Raw genomic sequence first — 20,562 nt, forward strand, 5'->3', positions numbered from 1 at the left:
AAAGCATTTAAAAGAGGATGGAAAAGATATGATTCCATGTCTTGAAATAGCTCACTTTACCAGAATATTTACAAATGATACTATACGCTATATATGTGACATGTAAGCATTATTAGCCTACTTTAAAACTACAAAGTCATCCTTTTATTAATTATTTGTAACACTCTTCTGTGGCTTTTTAATTTTTTTGCATTTACGTTTGCACATTATGTCATTATTGGTTACTACAAACTGTAAAGCTCTCTGATAAGGGGTTTAATTTTTTTTTAAAAAAACACATGATTTCAAAAACTAATCAATTACAATTTGAAATGGGTTTTGAAATAATTTGGTTTCAAGGTAAGCTATTGTTTTCCCTGGTGCCATCTGTAAATATTTATAAAATAAATTAGTTCCTTAATAAGCCCTCTGGTTCACTCCCTGACATCATTGCTACCCCAGTTGTACTGAAGAATATACCTTTCAATCCATTTTGAAAGCACTTGTTTACATGATATAATGCACTCAATTTTTCCATATGTCATTATTAAACACCCACTTCATGTCAGGCACCATATTAGGCTTTTAGAAAGAGAATATTAATAATAACTCAGTTTAAGTTATTCATTAAAGATGTGTCCAAATGATTTCTAGGCAATATTTTGTTGGTTAATTGTTAACATAATACTTTTGGTAATAATAAATTTGTATACATTTTGTAATCATTTAAAATTTTTACTTAAAAATGAAATGATGAGTATATCTGATAGTTCTTGCCTCTGGTCAGGACTTTTCAATTCATCTTAAACTCCAGACCTTTCTATGCACAACCTTTGATAATGTACAAATACAGCACCTACTCTCAGCTCAACCTAGAATTTCTCATCTTCTGTTCTTGGGCATCTCTGACTCAGCATCAAGCAGTCATGCAAATGCAATGCAAACAATGAGGAAGTTAATACCCCATGGAGCAATTGTGAATAAATGTGCCAATCTTTTGTTCCTTGGGTAGGTTTTGTGAGATGACTCCACAGAAAGCCCCAGCCTAATCAGCCCCAGATGCCCTTGCAAGGACAGCTTAGTATTTATTGAACCTTGCATGGCCTTGTCCTCCATCCTCGTTTCCCTCATCCCAGCGTCACTCTCTCCTGACTCGGGATGATTTCTCAAAATAAACTATCTCCATGTAAGCCTGTGTCACAGGCCCTGCTTTCATAGGGGAAGCCAGGGTAGGAAGTGAGTTTTCACAAAAGTCACAAATCCAGGTAGGCATGTGGCTGCAAATTCATACACCACTGCAAAAGTAGTTAAAAAAAAATAAAAAGACTTCATTATTATATTCTGTTCACAACTTACCTAATAAGACCTACATTTCTTGCTTAGCATTAAAGATTTTTAATACTCTGTACCTCAACCCTGGCCCCTTCCACTCACAGTATGCAATCTTACTCCCTTTTTGTAAACTAACCGTACTTGCTACTCAGCCAGGACCTCCAGCTAAAGGAAGGCCCCTTCTATCGCACCCACTGGTCAAGCATATCCTGCTTGGACATCTTTCTTCCCTGAACTCCCATTGCTTTCATAGCCTGCATTACCAAGTTTTTAAAAGATTGTATTGCCACAAAATCTTATCTAATAATATTGGGGATTTTTTTTTTTACTCTCTCCAATTATATTTTAGCAACTTGAAGACAGAGACACTAAATTTTGTTTTTACATTTCATAGCATAGAGAAAATTGCGGACACATAGTAGGTCTTTAATAAATGTACAGTGTTCATGGATTCTCCCTTCAGTATACTTGACAGAATCTTAAAATCTATTATAATATCAAGATGCCAGGAAAGACAGCCTAGCTTTTCCCTGAGGTCAGACTCATCACTCTCTGCTTTCAAGAATGATTAAGATTATGACCAAGTCTCACAGAAATTAGCATGCACACATGCACACAGGCACGCAAAAAGTAACTGCTAAACTTCTGCTTCATATTAAAATATCCTTATTTTTTTCAAAGGAAATTTTCAGTATGAAGAAGTCTAATTATTAGAGAAATGTAGCATTTTAACTTTCTTGGCCAGTTTGGGGTGCAGAGAAGCCTAAATTAGCTGTGAGGAAATAATGCCCAGACAAGTTGTGATGCTGTTCTTGAACTTCCTTTCTGCAGTAAACAGAACTACAGTATGCCTTAGTTCAAGCCCGTCTCACTCCCTTTCTCAATTAGTATGTAAAATTGCCCAGGGTCTGTTCATTGGATAAAATGCAGTCTTCTTGTGGGGAGCTTCAAGGTCCTTCCTGATTTTCTCTCTGAATACTTCCTCAATCTAGTCCCATAAGCCTCTACCTTTCCCAGTCTTAAGTTCCAGTCATTTGGAATTAATTGAAATTTTCTTTTAACATTGTTTTTAAACATTCTATTTCTGCTTTTTGAAATGTTTCTTCACTTGACTAACTTATTTTTGGTGTTCAACACTCAGTTTAGTTACTATTTCCTTTAGGAAGATACCTCTGATGTTTCCACTCTAGTTTTATAATGTATTGTTTTCTGCCTATCACTATAATCCTATGCATCACCTTGAACTGCATTTAGCTGTTTATCTGTATCTGTTTCATTAACCTCCAAGTTTCCTATGATCATAGATCAATTAATACTAGTATTAGTTCCTCAACATATAGTAAGAATTCAATACATGTTTAAAGAATAAATTGACACTAAAGGAGATTGAAGTAAGAGTGGGTATGTGATTAGTGTTATGAAGGAAGTAGTGAAGCAAAGCTCTTAACTATAAAAAGAAAACTGAAAAATTGGGACTAAAATGAATTGAGCAAAATAAAGAGAAACAGTGTGGGACTGAGATGGTCACATAAATCCATGACTAGTGATCCCCAAGCAGGGCTGACTGGGATGGCCTGTCAAGGAGCAAACGAGATCAGATCAGAGAGAACAGGAGAAAGAGCTCTGTACATGTGGCTTGCTGTACATGATTTACAAAATGAAACTCTTCACACTGGTAAGCACCTCTTGCATATTAATTAACTAAATGATGACTAAATTTGCATTTGGGGGCTACAGCGACAGGTACAGATGCTGTGTTCACCATTTACTTTCTGTGTGTGTTTAATCGTTCTAAATCAGTTTCCTCACCTGCAATATGAGATGAGCAATATATCTGAGTTATAATGGGGACTAATAATAGAGCATACAAGGATTTCAGGACAGATCCTAACACATCCTATTCAATAAATGGCAGCTACTGTTCTTAGTAGCAGTAGTAGTAGTTATTGCTTTCATTTTAGTGGTAGTAATAATAATCTTATCTGAAGAAGAGGAAAACCTCAAATTTTTTTGGTGGCAGCAGCAGAACTAGCTGGAGGTAAAAGTGAGAATTCCTCTACTGAGAGTCTGTTATATACCCTCCATAGGCTCTGCAGAGGTCATTTCCTCTTTTACCAGATTTGCTACTGTCAACAGTCTGAGCTACTTGAAGCACATCAAATTAGGGAGGTATTCATTATTGTGTGACTAAGAAGATGCTTGAGCCATGGTTGTCTTCACTACAAGCATTCCAATAATTGAGCATCTTCTCACCCCTTTATTTCATGATCATTTTAAGGGCACCAGAAAAAATAAAAACAGAGAAGTCACAGTGAATTGGATACAGAAATATTGTTCATTCTTCTTCTACCATGTTTTACACGTCTTTCTCAGGTGGCCTACTTGCCAGCAGCTTCGGATACCTCTAAATCCTGGAAGCTAGGCAAGTATATTTTCTAAAATGCCTGAGTAGCAAATTAATTTTAACAACACCTCCCATCTCTTCTTCTATGCAAGAGCATATGACTCAGAAACTACCCTCCCTCCTGCTGACTGCAATTCCTCTCTCATTCCAGGATAAATAGACCAATTTAGTGTCGGTAACCACTCCATTTATGCTGGGATTGCCTAGTTAAAGAGACCTATGCTTGATATCTGTAGGGGTCCAGTTAGATATTACTAGAAAACAGGATATCTTTTTCAAGTTTGATCTGCTGCAAGGGTTTATACACAAAGTAAATATCGATTGCTTTGTCAGGATTTTGCTTGCATCTCTCCTTTAATTCAAGTTTGAAGCAAAATATAATGATGAGACACAAGGCTACTGAACAATATTCAAATACCTCTCTGATGGCAAAACTCATTAAAAGCCACAGGGCTCTTGTGATGAGCCAGTGCTTTCCACATGACATCAAGACAATATGTGTATGACCTTCTCAAAAAACCTGCTGGAAATTACATCTTTTCAAAAAGCAGGGTCAGAACTATGAATCAGCCCATAGAATATGTATAAAAATCACCGGCATTTTGGTGAGCTAAGAAACAAGCTAACTGCCTGCAGCAGCATCCATTTAGTGACAAAGAAGAAAACACTAGATTTCTGTAGTGATCCATCTCTGTAACTTCTATAATCACCTAATAATCCTAACATCTAGCAAATTTCAGAAATATAGAAGGAATACATTTTATCTTCAAACTTATATAGGATATTCCTACCACTTCACTACATTATTTTAGTAAACAGTAGGAATATTTTAAGATAAATTTTAAAAGGATACCTTCTCAGTAATGCAGTTGAAGATGGTATGTATCTTCACACTGAGAGAACACTTTTTGGAACTATAATCACTACTGTACAAATTAGAGCCCAAAATAAGATAACATGTTATCAAAGGCCTATACTTATTACTCTATATAATTCATAACATAGTAGCTTTCAGGAAAATTACATGTTTCTATAAAAAAGCCAAGCCACAGTCTTTGGTTTAGATAATTCTTGTGAAGCTGCATCTTGTAAACCTAGGAATACGGAGTTTAAGAATGTCATACCTGTAAAATCAAATACTGTTCTTGATGCTATTGCCTATCCAGGATTTTAAATAATCCTCTTGTTCAAAATTTTGTTTATAGTAATAGATGTGTGTAGCAACACACTTTTTAAAAAATTATTTATTTATTTTATTTTTATTATTTTTTTGTGTGTGAGACAATGTCTCTCCCTGTCTACCCAGGCTGGAGTGGAGTGGTGCAATCTCAGCTCACTGCATCTTTTACCTCCTGGGATCAAGTGATCCTCCCACCTCAGCCTTCCGAGTAGCTGGAACTGCAGGGCGCATGCCACCATGTGTTGCTTTTTTGTTTTGTTTGAATTTTTTTATAGAAATGGGATTTCACCATGTTGTCCAGGCTTGTCTTAAATTCATGGGCCCAAGAGATCCACCCACTCAGCCTCCCAAAGTGCTGAGATTACAGGCATGATCCCAGTCTTATTTTTTTATTTTTCAATAATATCAACGTTCATTTTAGAGTCAGGGGTACATGTGTGGGTTTTTACATGAGTACTTAGTGTGATGCTGAGGTTTGGGATATAATTGAACTTGTCACTCAAAAATTGAGCATAGTACTCAATAGTTTTTCAACCCCTGTCCCCTCCACTCCTCCAGCCGTCCCCAGTGTCTACTGTTGCCATCTTTTCATCCGTAAGTACTCAATGTTTAGCTCTCACTTGTAAGAACGTGTTGTTTGGTTTTCTGTTCCTGCATTCATTTGCTTAGGATAATGGCCTTCAACTGCATACACGCAAAGAACATGATTTCATTCTTTTGTATGGCTGTATAGTATTCCATAGTGTATATGTACTGCATTTTCCTCATGTAATCTAATCTCTATTTAATTAATCATTGATAGGTACCTGGGTTGATTCCACGTCTTTGCTATTGTGAATAGTCTTGCAATGAAGATATTAGTGTATGTGTCTTTTTGGTAGAATAATTTATTTTCATTTGGATATATACACATTAATGGGATTACTGGATTGAATGGTAGTTCTGTTTTAATTTCCTTGAGAAATCTCCAAACTGCTTTATACAGTGACTGAACTAATTAACATTCCTACCAACAGTGTATAAGTGTTCCCTTTTCTCCACAGTTGTGCCAGCATCTGTTGTTTTAACTTTCTTTATTAGAAATAAATAATGGTCATTTTTACTGATGTGATATCCCACTGGGTTTTGATTTACATTTCTCTCATGATTAGTGACGTTGAACATTTTTTCAAGTTTGTTGGCTTCTTTTGAGAAGTATCTGTTCATGTATTTTGCTGATTTTTTAATGGGGTTATTTGTTTTTGGTCTGGTGTCCAGGCTGGAGTGCACTGACATGATCTTGGCTCACCTCAACCTCGACCTCCCAGGTTCAAGTGATTTTCCCACCTCAGCCTCCTGAGCAGCTGGGACAACGATCAGATGGATGTAGGTGTGCAGCTTCCTTTCTGAGTTCTCTATTCTGTTTCATTGGTCTATGTGTCTGTTTTTGTGCCAATACCAGGTGTTTTGTTTACTGTAGCCTTATAGTATAGCTTGAAGTTGTGTCATGTGAGGCTTCTGGCTTTGTTCTTTTTGCTTAGGACTGCTTTGGCTATGTGGGCTCTTTTTTGGCTCCATATTAATTTAGAATAGTGTTTTCTAGTTCTGTGAAAAATGCTATTGATAGCTTGATAGGAATATGGTTGAATTTGTAGATTGTTTTGGGCAGTATGGTCATTTTAACAATATTGATTCTTCAATCCTTGAGCACAGAATGTTTTTCCATTTGTGTCACCTATTATTTCTTTAAGCAGTGTTTTATAGTTCTCTTTGTATAGGTCTTTCACCTCTCTGACAGAGAGTGACTTAGACAATTTTGGCTGCTATAACAAAGTCTACTTAGTTAGAAACAACTTTACATACATAAAATATCTATTCTTCAATGGTTCCTGTACATGGTTCCAAAACATACCCCAGGATTAAAATGAATTTTTCTCACATACATGCCAGTGTTTTTTCAAACCACTTTATGACATCCTACTACTTTTTTCTTTTGCCACAGCAGTTCAGTTTGAGAGGTTCTGTGAGATGTCTTTGATATGGAAGAGTTACTAAAAAAGGAAACTTAGAGCTTAGAGAAACAGGAAATTTTGCTTCTAAACATTTAAGTATAGAAATAAACACAGCTATACATTGGTGAAGACAACATACTGTTAGTATCACAATGAGATGTGGCATTTGGATTAAGTTGAAAGGAAAGTATTTCTAATTATACAACTGAATTACAGATGACAATTTGAACTGCTTAATGTAGTTTATAGATTAAAAAGTTCATAGTGACATTTTCCTTTTTCTTCTAGCCACCCTTTGATAACCCCTTTAATGGAATGTTGTGAGCCACAGGTTCAAAAGTAGTGAACGCTTAGGAGGCTTAACTTATCCTAATGACCTTTCAATGCAAAGCAAAAGGTCAACAGTTAGTGTTACATTGAGGCTGACAAAGAATGTTGCCTAAACCTGAATGACAAAAGCTTGCTACTGGAGGTCACCTCTTAATTGACTTTCCTGACATTAATGCTTGTTGTAAACCAGGAAACTCATTTTGAAGTTGCAGTCCTTTCTTCAAAGTCTTGCTTATTATAGATAACATATTTGTCATATCGGTCACTGTTTACTCAGCCTTATGAATGTTTTATAGAAACCATCAAATGTTGCTCATTCTTTCACAAGTCACATATTAAGTACAATTTCTTTAAACTCAATTGGGGTTTCAAGCTTTGTCTGTAATATGTACACGCATCTAATGAACTTTAGGTCTTTGGCATTCCTGGACATGTCTATTGTGTTAATACCCTTGGTGTGTTCATCATTTACAGAAGGCAAGGTGGAATGCAGACTGGACTGAGCAGACCAGTGTTACAGTGCCCACACTAACATACCTTATTTTTTAACTTGGCATTGTTTAGATGCTACTCTTAAATTCAGGAGATGCCTAAAAGTTTATATGCGAGCCTAGTAGACAAGAGTCCTGTTTCTCAAACTTTCTAGGTCTCATTGTTCTAATTTATAAATTTAGAATTTTTGTAAGTGATCTATAACTCTAGTTATACTGATATTGTATTTCAAACATGTTTGTTCTCTGTTACCTTTAGCTGAAATAGAACAATGTGAATATTCCATAGCCTCTGATTATTCATATTTTGTTGAATATCTGTTCTCTACCACTCCTCCAAATTTGGCAAACATGTCTTTAAAGTACTTGAGACAATCCAAAGCATATTCATCAGTCTTTTCCTCCTAGATGTCTGTCCCTTATTCCTTATAGAGGAAATATGATCTCATAACCTCAAGTTTAAAGAACCATACAATATTAAGCTAGAAGAGACTTTAAAAAGTCATATACTCCAGCAGTGCTATTCATTGGCCACTCAAATCTGTTCCACTCTTCCCAAGAGGTCTGCTAGACCTGCATTGTACAATATGAAAACCATCATTTAAATTTAAATTTAAATTAATAAAAATTAGGTAAAATTAAACTTTACTTCTTCAGTTGTACTAGCCACATTTCAAGTGCTCATAAGCTACATGTGGCTATCAGAGTCCATATTGCACAGCACAGAAATAAATTACTTCCACCATCACAGAACGTTCTATTAGACAGTGATGATGTAAACTAAGCTTTAATACTTTCATTACATTAAGCCCACCACCTCCCAGGTACTTTGATACTTTTACAATACTATTTTGTTAAAATTTTTTTTCCATATTTGTAATCAAACTCTTGAAATATCTATCCATTTATTCTTAATTTTATTTTTTAAAATTAGCCTTCTAGTCACGCGCTCTTCTGCATTTCTATCCTTTCAGATATTTAAAGAAAATTGTCATGTGCCTCATTTTCTCTTTTTTGTGTCCTCCTATATAGCTATCTCCTGTATTTTAGGTGTATGATAGAATTTGCCCTGGAAACATTATTTTAAAATCACAAAGTTTTAGTTGCATTCTTAGTCACAAATTGACAAACTTAAGTCACAGATATGTAAATACATAAACATTTACATAAAAAGAAATAATAACTTTTCCTCCTAATCCTCCCACCCATCCCCAGTGCCAGGCATAGAGTAAGCAATCAGTAAATCCTAGCTGAATTAATGCATGAATAAACTTCACCATGTTGCTCTTAATATATTAATGCTTGTTCTTGATGTGTTATCTTCTCCATGTAGTAAATTAAAAACTCTTATTATAAAAATAATATTCATCCTAGATAACCTGGTATATACATAAGAAAAAAAGATCAAAATACTACCATTTGAATGGGCAGTCAAATCTGTCACTTAGACATGACTAATATTAATCTTTTTTTCCTATATAGGTTTTGTTTAACAAAGTTGAAATATGTATTTATGTTTTCTAAATTTATTCTTTCACAACATATTATGTGCATTGTTTAATGTCATTGAAGAAGCTTCTATTTTTTATTAACTATATTATATTAGATTATTTTATATCAGTTTATTTTGGATCATTTAATATTTGCTTAATGTTATGAACTGAAGGGTATACTCCCCAAAATTTTTAGGTTGAAGCCCTAACCCCTAATACCATAGAATGTGACAGTATTTGGGGGTAGGACTTTTAAAGAAATAATTAAGTTAAAATGAGATTGTTAGGGTGCGTCTTGAATCCAATATGACTGATATTCTTATAAGAAGAGATTAGGACAGAGACAACACACAGGGCTAACCATGTGAGAACACTGCAAGACAGCAGCCATCTGAAAGATGAGGAGAAAGGCCTGAGTAGAAAGCAGGCCTGCTGACACCTTCATCTTAGACTTCTAGCCTAGAGAACTGTGAGAAAATTAATTTGTATTTTTCAGCCACTCAGATTGTGATATTTTGTTATAACAGGAAAACTTTATTTTCAAGTTTTTATTGTGATAAATAAGACTGTAATTTCACAGAATTTTTGGCCCATCTCTGATTATTTTCTTGCACAAAATTTTTACAAAAAATAGTCTTTTAAAAATCTATGAAAAAGACTTTATATATACTTTTAAACTGTCTCTCGAAAAGTTGTACTTTGCAACATTTTCCTCAATTCAATAAGGAAAAAAATCACGTCACTCAGTGTATTTCATTTTGCATTTTAAAAAATTAAAGTGAAGTACAACTTTTGTAATGGCTATTGTCCTTTTTTGTGGTATTGTGATGAGTAAATTTTATAGTCTTAACTCACATGTTAAGTACATATTATTAGTTTTACATGTATTTAGACATATATATTTATATATGATATATGACCTCTGTCCTTTGGTTTTATCACTTAAAAGATTATTTTGGTGTGAATTTGCATGGTAGAGTCAGTTCATTTTCACTGTTGTATAATATTATTCTACATGACTATATCTTGATTATTTACCCATTATGATATAATGGATTTTTAAGTCATTTCTTTTTTATTTTTTTCACTAACAGCATAATTGCTACGAAGATTGTTTTAATGCATTTTGAGCTGCTGTAATAGAATATTACAGACTGGTTATGGTAGCAAGAAAATAAATTTACTGTCCTGGAGTCTGGAAATTTCAATATCAAGGTGTAGGTATCTGGCAAACGCCATCATACCTCATTATCCCATGGCAGAAGGTAAAAGGGCAAGTGAGGGCAAGAGTGAGAGACAGAGGGATGAACTCGATTTTTTTTTTTTTGAGATGGAGTTTCGCTCTTGTTGCCCAGTCTGGAGTGCAATGGCATGATCTCAGCTCACTAGAACTCTCAGGTTCAAGTGATTTTCTGCCTCAGCCTCCCGAGTAGCTGAGATTACAGACATGCACCACCACACCCAGCTAATTTTGTATTTTTAATAAAGACAGGTTTTTCTATGTTGATCAGGCTGGTCTCGAACTCCCGACCTCAGGCAATCAACCCGCCTCAGCCTCCCAAAGTGCTGGGATTACAGGCGTGAGCCACCACGCCCAGCCCTGAACTCAATTTTACAGCAACCCACTGTCATGATTTTATAAACCCACTTCAATGATAACATTAACCGATTCATGAAGGCAAAGTCCCCATGATCTAATCATCTCTTAATGATTCCACCTCTTAATACCATCACAATGATAATTAAATTTCAACATGAGTTTGGGAGAGGACATTTAACCTATAGCAAACATATTCATACTGTTTCTTTTTGCCATGGGGAAAATTCCTCTATGATATATGTCAATAAGTGAAATTACTGGCTTTACTTGTTGGAAGGGACAGCATAATATAATGGTCCCTTATAAAGGGACAAACTCTGAAGCCAGACTACTTGGGTTCAATGCTGTTTGTACCATGAATAGGTTTTTTGATTTTGGCGGTTACCCAACCTCTCTTTGTCAGCTTCCTCAAATATAAATAATGAAAATGGTAGTATTTACCTCACAATTATTAGGATAAAGTGATTTTGCATTTGCACATTTAGGAAAATAACTAATATAGAGCAAACACTCCACAAATGTTTATTGTATTTTCAACAAACCTGATAATCATAAATTATTTTCCAACGTGGTCACATAAATTTATATTTCCACTAGTGATACTATGAGGTCATGCTAACTCATCAGCACGTTGCATTACAGGACTTTTTTACCAAGATGAATGTGATTAGCTATAGTTTATTCATTGTCGCTACTGTATAGTATGCCAGTGTTTACATTTATCGCAGTTCAATCATTCTTTCAAAGGACTGTTGAACTGTTCTCCATTCTTGCTATTACAAACACCACTGATACAAACATTCTGATACGTGGTTCTTGATGTCCACTGGCAAATGCTTCTCCTTAGTATATGCAAAATATAGGCATCCCAAAGACAAGAACATGCCCCAAATTTGAGAGCAAATCAGTTAAAAAGCCTTAGATAATGTATCCATGTCTAAAGTTTAGGCTCAAATCACCAATTCCTGAATATTTCTAAAGGTTTCCCAAAAATCAGCCCTGATACATACAGTATTTCCAAGTCATAAAAACTGATTAGCTTCTTCTCCTAAGAGATTCAGTGGCTGTGTTTCTGGAAAGAAATAAAGGGTTTGAGAGAAGAACTTCAGAAATGAAGTAACAAGTGCTACAACATGCCAAGATAATATGTATTATCTCCAAATGAATATTCTCAATAGCTTGAGTTTGGGAGAGGACATTTAAACTATAGCAAACATACTCATACTGTTTCTTCTTGCCATGGGGAAAATTTCCCTAGGATATATATGTTAATAAGTGAAATTACTGGCTTTACTTGTTGGAAGGATTGCAGAGTTGAACATTCCCTTCACCATCCACAGATTCTGATCATTGGAAAAATAGCACAACAATACCATTGAATAAAGGAAATATTCTAAGTTTATTCCAACATGTGTAGGTGAGGAGCACACAGTAGCAGAGACATAAAAAAAACTTTATCTTCTGCCTTTCCTCATCTGCTTCCCTGCTGGGATTATACCAATCATCCTCAATTTCTTGCCTTTTTATTTAGTCGCTTCTTTAGTATTCATCTTTAATAATGTGTAACCACAACCTGTCATTACAATCAAAGGACAAAATCAAACATAAAAATGTGAATAGAGGCTACATAAAAAAATAATCAGTTTGCTCATTACAGAACCACTGGCAGCTGCCTTAATTCATATTAAGCCAAATCATCTCATTTTATCTTCCTCAGGCTTGGGCTCTCATTCTTCCTTCTGCAATGACCAGAGAGTCTTTGGCTTCTTCCGTCTTGCTGGAAAAAGAACATTCATGGGTACATATGATCTTTTAAGAAATTTCTACATTAAGCCTGTAAAAACAAGGTGGTGGAAATCTCCATTAGATGAGATGTTACAACATGCCATTCAAGTTAGTTAAAATCTAGAGTCCCAGATCTTGTAATAAAGGCAGAAAAGAAATATCAAATGTTATGTGTGAAAAACATGCAATGAAAATAGTGCTGGTTTACAAACGGTTTGAACTTGATGCTTTCAAATTCCTCATAGTTATAATGTTAGAAGCTATTTTAAGCGATAAGTACCACTTGATTAATTTTAACATGGCCAAAGCAATATGTAAAAATGAAACACTGGAACTGAAGTCAGGAGGCATGACTGGTCTTTTACAGGCTGTGTAACTTTAGACAGATCACTACATTTTGTGATTTATAGTCTCACTTTGGTAATAACACATGTGGAATTAAATCACTTTCACTCAATAATCAGAATAGTCCTCCCCTTGATTCACGTACAAGGACAAAAATCAGAAACCCCCTTCTCCATGTTAACCAAAGCTACTTTAATCTGTTACACATATTGGATCAGATGATCTCTAAGGGGCCTTGCAGGGTCTCTAAAATCATCTTAAATAACTAAAGCCATTATGCTCAACCTTGGCTGCAAATTAGAATCATCTTGAGAACTGAAGAATTCTCAGTGCCCAGAATACACCCTCAGAGATTCTGACTTAATTGGCTGATGGGGTCTTGCCAGCAATAATATTTTAAAACTCTTTAGGGAGTTCTCTGCAACCAGGGTCAGGAAACCCTTTTCTCAGGAATTATAAATACATGACTGGATTGGGATTCCTGCTTTGTCCCTTCACATTAACCCACATGCCAAACACCCAAAACCATCCAGTTGGCAAGAAATTAGGCAGCAGACTTGAAAGAAATTGAATAAATATTGTCTCTCCTTGTTAATCCCTCTGGCTAGACTTTCTGTGGAAATAGATTGTTATAAAGTTAATGTGGGCAGCAGAAGCTGGTGTATCCTTAGGCCACGAAGATGAGGAACCAAGAACTGTCTGGGAAAAGCTAGACAGGGTGCATAGATTCAATGAAGTTCAGTAAACTTGGTGGAAACTTTGTAAACCTTTCAGAAAACCTGCAGACTTCCTGCATCAATGCCCCAGGGCAGAATCTCAACAATAACCATGCCAATTTTTGCTGCTGGTTATGGGTGAAGAAGCACAATTTCATGAATTAGTGGAAGATTTATTCTCATTCAGTACATCTAGTCTGCCCTGATTCAGAGAAAGTAGGCACTCAGTTGGTTTTTTATTGTGAACTTTGTAACCTAAATAATCTGTCTTACTCTAGGTATAGAGTAACTCTGTAACCCTAATTCATTAGTTCATGAAGCAACATTCATTAGTTCTATTAGCATTCTTCCCAAGACATGAGATCAATCTACATTTCATGTTTTACAGCACTGTTCTTTGCAAATTATACATCATAGAACTGTTAGTTCCATTTCCATTGGCAAAAAAACAAAAACAAAGTTATTCATCTATTTTAAACAAAACTGAGAAAAAACTATGAAAATTTCTTTGTAATATGAAAGTGCCTATTATGAACATAAGCTTGGTTAAATAAAAAGCTGTCTCTTTATCACAATATGGCAGCATATTGAAAAATGGTGAATAAAAATAATAATTTGTTAGTATTAATATGTATTAATGTATTAAGTACACAGGATCTTATATAATCTGAAAATATCAATAAAATTAGATAGATGATACAAATTGATAGATAGCAATACAAATGGGATAATATAAAAATAACTGATGAAATCATTAAAATTGAATAGAAAGGGCAAAACACAGAACTGAATTGGACATGAGTGCATATATTCTTATTTTCTATAAGAGGCTACATTTGTAGAAATGGTTGAATCTTGTTTAAAGCTGCTAAATATGATGTCAGTTTTTACTTAACACTCAAATGCTCAGTTTTTAGGGTACATTGTTGAGGAGGGGACAACAGAAAGATGACTTCTCTTCTTTATTTGAGAATGTAAGTGGTAAAAAAAAGAAGCATTAATATATAATAACTAAATGTTACATAAATAATGTCTATCATTTGAAATTACTATGTTTCAGGTAGTAACAGACTATATGTCTTATCTTACTGAATTATGAAAGATGAATATTACTATCTTTGTGTTACATGTGAAGAGACTGTCTCTCAGACCTTACATAACTAGCCTAGGTCCATATAACTTATAAATGATAGCCCTCTGTGAGTAACAATGAATATAATTACTATAATGCATGACAATTGATAAATGAATCTGAAAATTATTCTGGCTATGTAAGGAATTGGTAAAACATCTTGGAGGAAATAAGCCACTTATTAGCCATTATTTTTGTCAGTCTCTATTTCCTCATCTCCAAGATAAATAACACCATCCTTGAAGCATATTTATGCTCATTTAATGAGATTCCAAAGCCTCTATCTCTATGAATGGCACCAATAACCACTTAGCTAAACACCTGGAAGTCATCCTGACCTCACTTCATGTCTAATTAAGCCATCAAGTTCAAGTATTTTCCTCCTAAATAGCTCTCAAATTCATGTTGTAGTTCCTATCTCACTGACATGGATTGGTTCAAACCCTTATCAATTCTCACTAAGGTTACTCTCACTATTCTTTAACCCATTCTTTTCATTGTGAAAAGTATCATTTTAAACAGCTAATATAATTGGTTTCTATGTTCATTGTTTTTGCGTTACTATAAAGAAATACTGGAGGCTGGGTAATTTATGAAGAAAAGAGGTTTAATTGGCTAGTTCTGGAGGCTATACAGGAAGCATGGCATGGGCATCTGCTCACCTTCTGATGAGAGCCTCAGAGAGCTTACAATCTGTGACAGAAAGACATGCAGGAGCTGGTGTATCACATGGTGAAAGGGGAAGCAAGAGAGAGAATAGGGGAGGCGCCACACTCTTTTATAAAAACAGATCCCATGTGAACTTTCAGAGTGAGAACACGCTCATTACCAAGGGGAAGCACTAAGTTATTCATGAAGGGTTCACATCCATGATCCAATAACTCCTACCAGGCCCCACCTCCAACACTGGGAACTAGATTTTAACATGAGATTTGGATGGGACACACAACCAAACCATATCATTCTGTCCCTGGTCCCCCAAAACTCATGTCCTTCTCACACTGAAAACTACAATTACCCCTTCTCAATAGCCTCCCAAAGTCTTAACTGATTCCAACCCCAAGTCCAAAGTCCAAAGTCTTATTTGAGACATAAGTCAAGTTCCTTCCACCTATGAGCCTGAAAATAATATATTTTTTAAAAGAATGTATTTAACTTCCAAGGTAACAATGGTGGTAAAGACATTTGGTAAACATTCCCATTCCAAAAAGGAGAAATCAGCCAAGAGAAAGGAGCTATAGGCCCCAAACAAGTCTGAAACTCAGCAGGGCAGGAACTAAATTTTAAACCTCCAAAATAATCCTTGACTCCATGTCCCGTATCTAGTGGTGGGTTCTCGAGGCTTTGGGCAGCTCCACCATGGTGACTTTTCAGGGTGCAGCCCTTTAGCTATTCTTATGGGTTAGAGCTGAGTGCCTGTGGCTTTTCTCAGTGCAGGCTGCAAGCTGCCAGTGGATCAACATTCTGGGGTCTGGAGGATGGTGGCCCTGTTTTCACAGTTCCACTAGGCAGTGTCCCAGTGGAGACTATATAGAGGCACCAACCCCACATTTTGCTTCCATACTGCCTGATATGGTTTGGCTGTGTCCCCACCCAAATCTCATCTTGAATTGTAATTCCCACAATCCCCATGTTTTGTGGGAGGGACCAGTGGGAGGTAACTGAATCATGGGGTGGTTCCCTCCTTGCTGTTCTCATGATAGTGAATGAATTCTCACAAGATCTGATGCTTTTATAAGGGCTTTTATAAGGGGCCCATCCCCCGGCCCTTTGCTCTGAACTCCTCCTTGCTGCTGCCATGTAAAGAAGGACATGTTTTCTTCCCCTTCCACCATGATTGTAAGTTTCCTGAGGCCTCCCCAGCCCTGCAGAACAGTGAGTCAATTAAACATATTTCCTTTATAAATTATCCAGTCTCAAGTATTTCTTTGTAGCAGAACGGCTATGAAGAATAAAAATGGACTAATACAGTAAATTGGTACTGGGACTGGGGCATTACTACGAGGATACCTTAAAATATGGAAGCAACTTTGGAGCTGGGTAACAGGCAGAAATTGCAACAATTTGGAGGGCTCAGAAGAAGATAGGAAAAATGGGAAAGTTTAGAACTTCCTAGAGAGTTGTTAAATGGCTTTGACCAAAATGTGGGCAGTGATATGGACAATAAAGTTCAGGCTAAGGTGGTATCAGATGGAGATGAGGAACTTTATGGGTACTGGATTAAAGGTCAGTTTTGCTATGCAAAGAGACTGGTGAGATTTTGCCCCTGTCCTAGAGACCTGCAGAACTTTGAACTTGAGAGAGATGATTTAGGGTATCTGGCAGAAGAAATTTCTAAGCGGCAAAGCATTCAAGAGGAAGCAGAGCAAAAAAAGTTTGAGAAATTTGCAGCCTGATGATGCAGTGTGAAAAAAAAAAAATTTTCTAAGGAAAAATTCAGGCCAGCTGCAGAAATTTACATAAGTAACATGGAGCCAAATGTTAATCCTCAAGACAATGGGGAAAATGTCTCCAGGATGTGTAAGAGACCTTCAAGGCAGCCCCTCCCATTACAGTCCTGGAGACCAAGGAGGGATAAATGGTTTCCTGGGCTAGGCCACCAGGTCTCTATGCAGCCTTAGCACATGGTGCCCTGCATCCCAGCTGCTTCAGCTCCAGCCATGGCTAAAAGGGGCCAAGGTATAGCTCAGGCCATTGCTTCAGAGGGTGCAAGCCCCAAGCCTTGGTGGCTTACACATGATGTTGGACCTGCAGGTGCACAGAAGTCAAGAATTGAGGTTTGGGAACCTCCACCTAAATTTCACAGGATGTACAGAAATGCCTGGATGTTCAGACAGAAATTTGTTTCAGGGGCAAAGCCCTCACAGAGAAGCCCTGCTAGGGCAATGCAAAAGGGAATTGTAGGGCTGGCACCCCCACACAGAGTACCCAATGGGGCACTGCCTGGTAGAGCTGTGAGAAGAGGGCCACCATCCTCCAGACCACAGAATGATAAATCAACCAAAAGCTTGCACTGTGCACCTGGAAAAGCCACAGATACTCAATGCCAGCCTGTGAAAACAGCTGGGAGTAGGGGCTGTACCCTGCAAAGCCACAGGGTCAGAGCTGTGCAAGGCTGTGGGAGCCCACATCTTGCATCAGCTTGACCTGGATGCAAGACATGAAGTCAAAGGAGATCATTTGGAACTTTAAGGTTTAATAACTGCCCTATTGGATTTCAGACTTGTATAGGTCCTGTAGCCCCTTTGTTTTGGCCAATTTCTCCTCTTTGCAACAGGTACATTTACCCAATGCCTGTATCCCCATTATATCTAGGAAGTAATTGATTTGCTTTTGACTTTACAGGCTCATAGGTGGAAGGGACTTGCCTTGTCTTAGATGCGATGATTGGACTTGGACAATTGTGTTAATGCTGGAATAAGTTAAAACTTTGGGGTACTGTTGGGAAGGCATATGGTGTTTTGTAATGTGAGGACATGAGATTTAGCAGGGGGTAGGGGTAGAATGGTATGGTCTGTCTGAATCCCCACCCAAATCTCATCTTGAATTACAGTCCCCATAATCCCCATGTGTCATGGGAGGGACCCAGTGGAAGGTAATTGAATCATGGAGGTAGTCACCTCCATGCTGTTCTCGTAATAGTGAGTGAGTTCTCACAAGATCTGATGGTTTTATAAGGGGTTTTTCCCCCACTTTGCTCTGAACTTCTCCTTCCTGCTGCCATATCAAGAAAGGTGTGTTTGCTTCCTCTTCTGCCATGATTTTAGGTTTCCTGAGGCCTCCCAAGCCCTGCAGAACTGTGAGTCAATTAGACCTCTTTCCTTTATAAATTACCCAGTCTTGGGTATTTTTTCATAGCAGCATGAAAACCGACTAATACATTGCCTTAGTAGAGTTTCTCTGTGGGGTTCTGCCCCTGTAGCAGGCTTCTGCTTGGGCACCCATGCTTTCCCAGACATTCTCTGGAATCTAGGTGGAAGCTGCCAAGCCTCCTTTATTCTTGTATTCTGTGTGCCAGCAAACTTGACACTATGTGAAAGCCACCAAGGTTTATGGAAGCTTGCAATCTCCAAAGAGATATCTCAAACCTGTCTCTGGGGCCCTATGGGCCACAGCTGGAGCCAGAGGGGCTGGGGATGTAAAGAGCAGTGTCCCGAGTCTGAGCAGGGAAGTGTTGCCCTGTTCCTGGCCTGTGAAACCAGTCTTTTCTCTTAGGCCTCTGGGCTTGTGATGGGAGGGGCTGCCTGAAAGATTTCTGAAATGCCTTTGAGGTCTTGTTCCCATTGTCTTAAATATTAACACTTGGCTCCCTTTTAATTATTCTAATTGTTTAGCAACTGGTTGTTCCACAGCCTGCTTGGATTCTTTACCACAGAGGCAGACTGCAAATTTTTCAAACTTTTATGCTCTGCTTTTATTTTAAATAAAAGTTCCAGCTTTAAGTCATTTATTTTCTCTGCATCTGAAATAGTCTATAGGATATTAGAAGCAGCTAGGCCACATCCTGAATGCTTTACTGCTTAGAAGTTTCTTCTGCCAGATAACCTAAATTATCACTCTTAAATTCAAATTTCCATAATTCCCTAAAGAATGGACACAATGCAGCCAATTTGTTGTTGTTGTTGTTGTTGTTGTTGTTGCTACAGCATAACCAGAATGACCTTGGCTCCAGTTCCTAATAACTTTCTTATTTCCATCTGAGACCTCATCAGCCTGGACTTCACTGTACATATCTCTGTCAGTGTTTTGGTGACAGCCACTTAACAAGTCTTCCTTTGACTTCCTGTCTTCTTCTGAGCCCTCCAAACTCTTCCAACCCCTGCCCATTACCTGCTTCCAAAGCCACTTCCATATTTTCAGATATCTTTATAGCAACACCCTATTCCTCAGTACCAATTTTCTGTGTTAGCTTGCCTTTGCATTGCTATAAAGATATACGTGAGGCTGGGTAATTTAAAAATAAAAGAGGTTCATGGTTTTACAGGCTGAACAGGAAGCATGGCACTGGCATCTGTTTGGCTTCTGGTGAGGGCCTCAGAGAGCTTACAATCATGGCAGAAGGTAAAGCAGGAGCCAGTGTGTCACATGGCAATATGGTGGGGAGGTGCCACACTCTTTTAAACAACCAGATCTCATGTGAACTACCAGAGCAAGAATTCACTCATCAACAAGTGGATGGTGCTAAGCTATTTATGAGGGATCTTCTTTCATGATGCAGTAACTCCCACCAGTGTTATACTGGGGAGTTCTCTCACCCTCTAAATCACTGAGCTTCTTAGAGATCACCACAGCATCTATATCCTTATTTTAAATCACAGGCCAACTGAAGGTTGAGGTACCTTGAGGTCCAGCATTCTATGCAGACACTATAGTTGTCTTCCTTGTAGACAAGGAAGGGTTGGTTAAATGAAGGAATGATTGAATGAATGTGTAAATGGAATTTGAACCTTCTAATGCAGACCTTCTGGACACTATTATTGCTATACAGAGTTTAGTTTCTATATCACCACTCCTTATTTGCCCCATGCAATTTTTAGTTCAAAATTTAGCAAGTATCTGAAGTTATTCTTATGAAATACCAAAATCACCATTTGATTTGTCAGTAAAATCAAACAAAAATATTCTGATTATTTCCCTTTAAAATGAACATATCTATTGTTACTGCACTAACAGTTTAGTGTATTCAAAATAATTGAATACACTCTAATACACATCATCCAGTTAAATAGAGATGTAATTGGCATAAGTTTGTATTACTGGAGTTTTTATATTCCAGATATGGTT

At 37.0% G+C, this 20,562-nt stretch overlaps 1 long non-coding RNA gene across 1 annotated transcript in view, besides 1 other annotated feature; it reads right to left on the reverse strand.

Annotated features, from left to right (window-relative positions):
* Positions 1–20,562, reverse strand: part of LOC105374037 (uncharacterized) — a 112,561-nt gene that overhangs the window by 21,432 nt on the left and 70,567 nt on the right. The gene's annotated exons all lie outside the window — the stretch shown is intronic.
* Positions 642–1,230: an enhancer, noted in NCBI's record as "OCT4-NANOG-H3K27ac hESC enhancer chr3:110295653-110296241 (GRCh37/hg19 assembly coordinates)". NCBI's record gives its function as "activates a minimal SCP1, AML or CMV promoter by ChIP-STARR-seq in naive and primed H9 embryonic stem cells {active_cell/tissue: H9 hESC(naive and primed)}" and the evidence as "EXISTENCE:reporter gene assay evidence [ECO:0000049][PMID:30033119]".

This window comes from Homo sapiens, chromosome 3 (genome assembly GCF_000001405.40).
Source record: "Homo sapiens chromosome 3, GRCh38.p14 Primary Assembly".
NCBI lineage: Eukaryota > Metazoa > Chordata > Mammalia > Primates > Hominidae > Homo > Homo sapiens.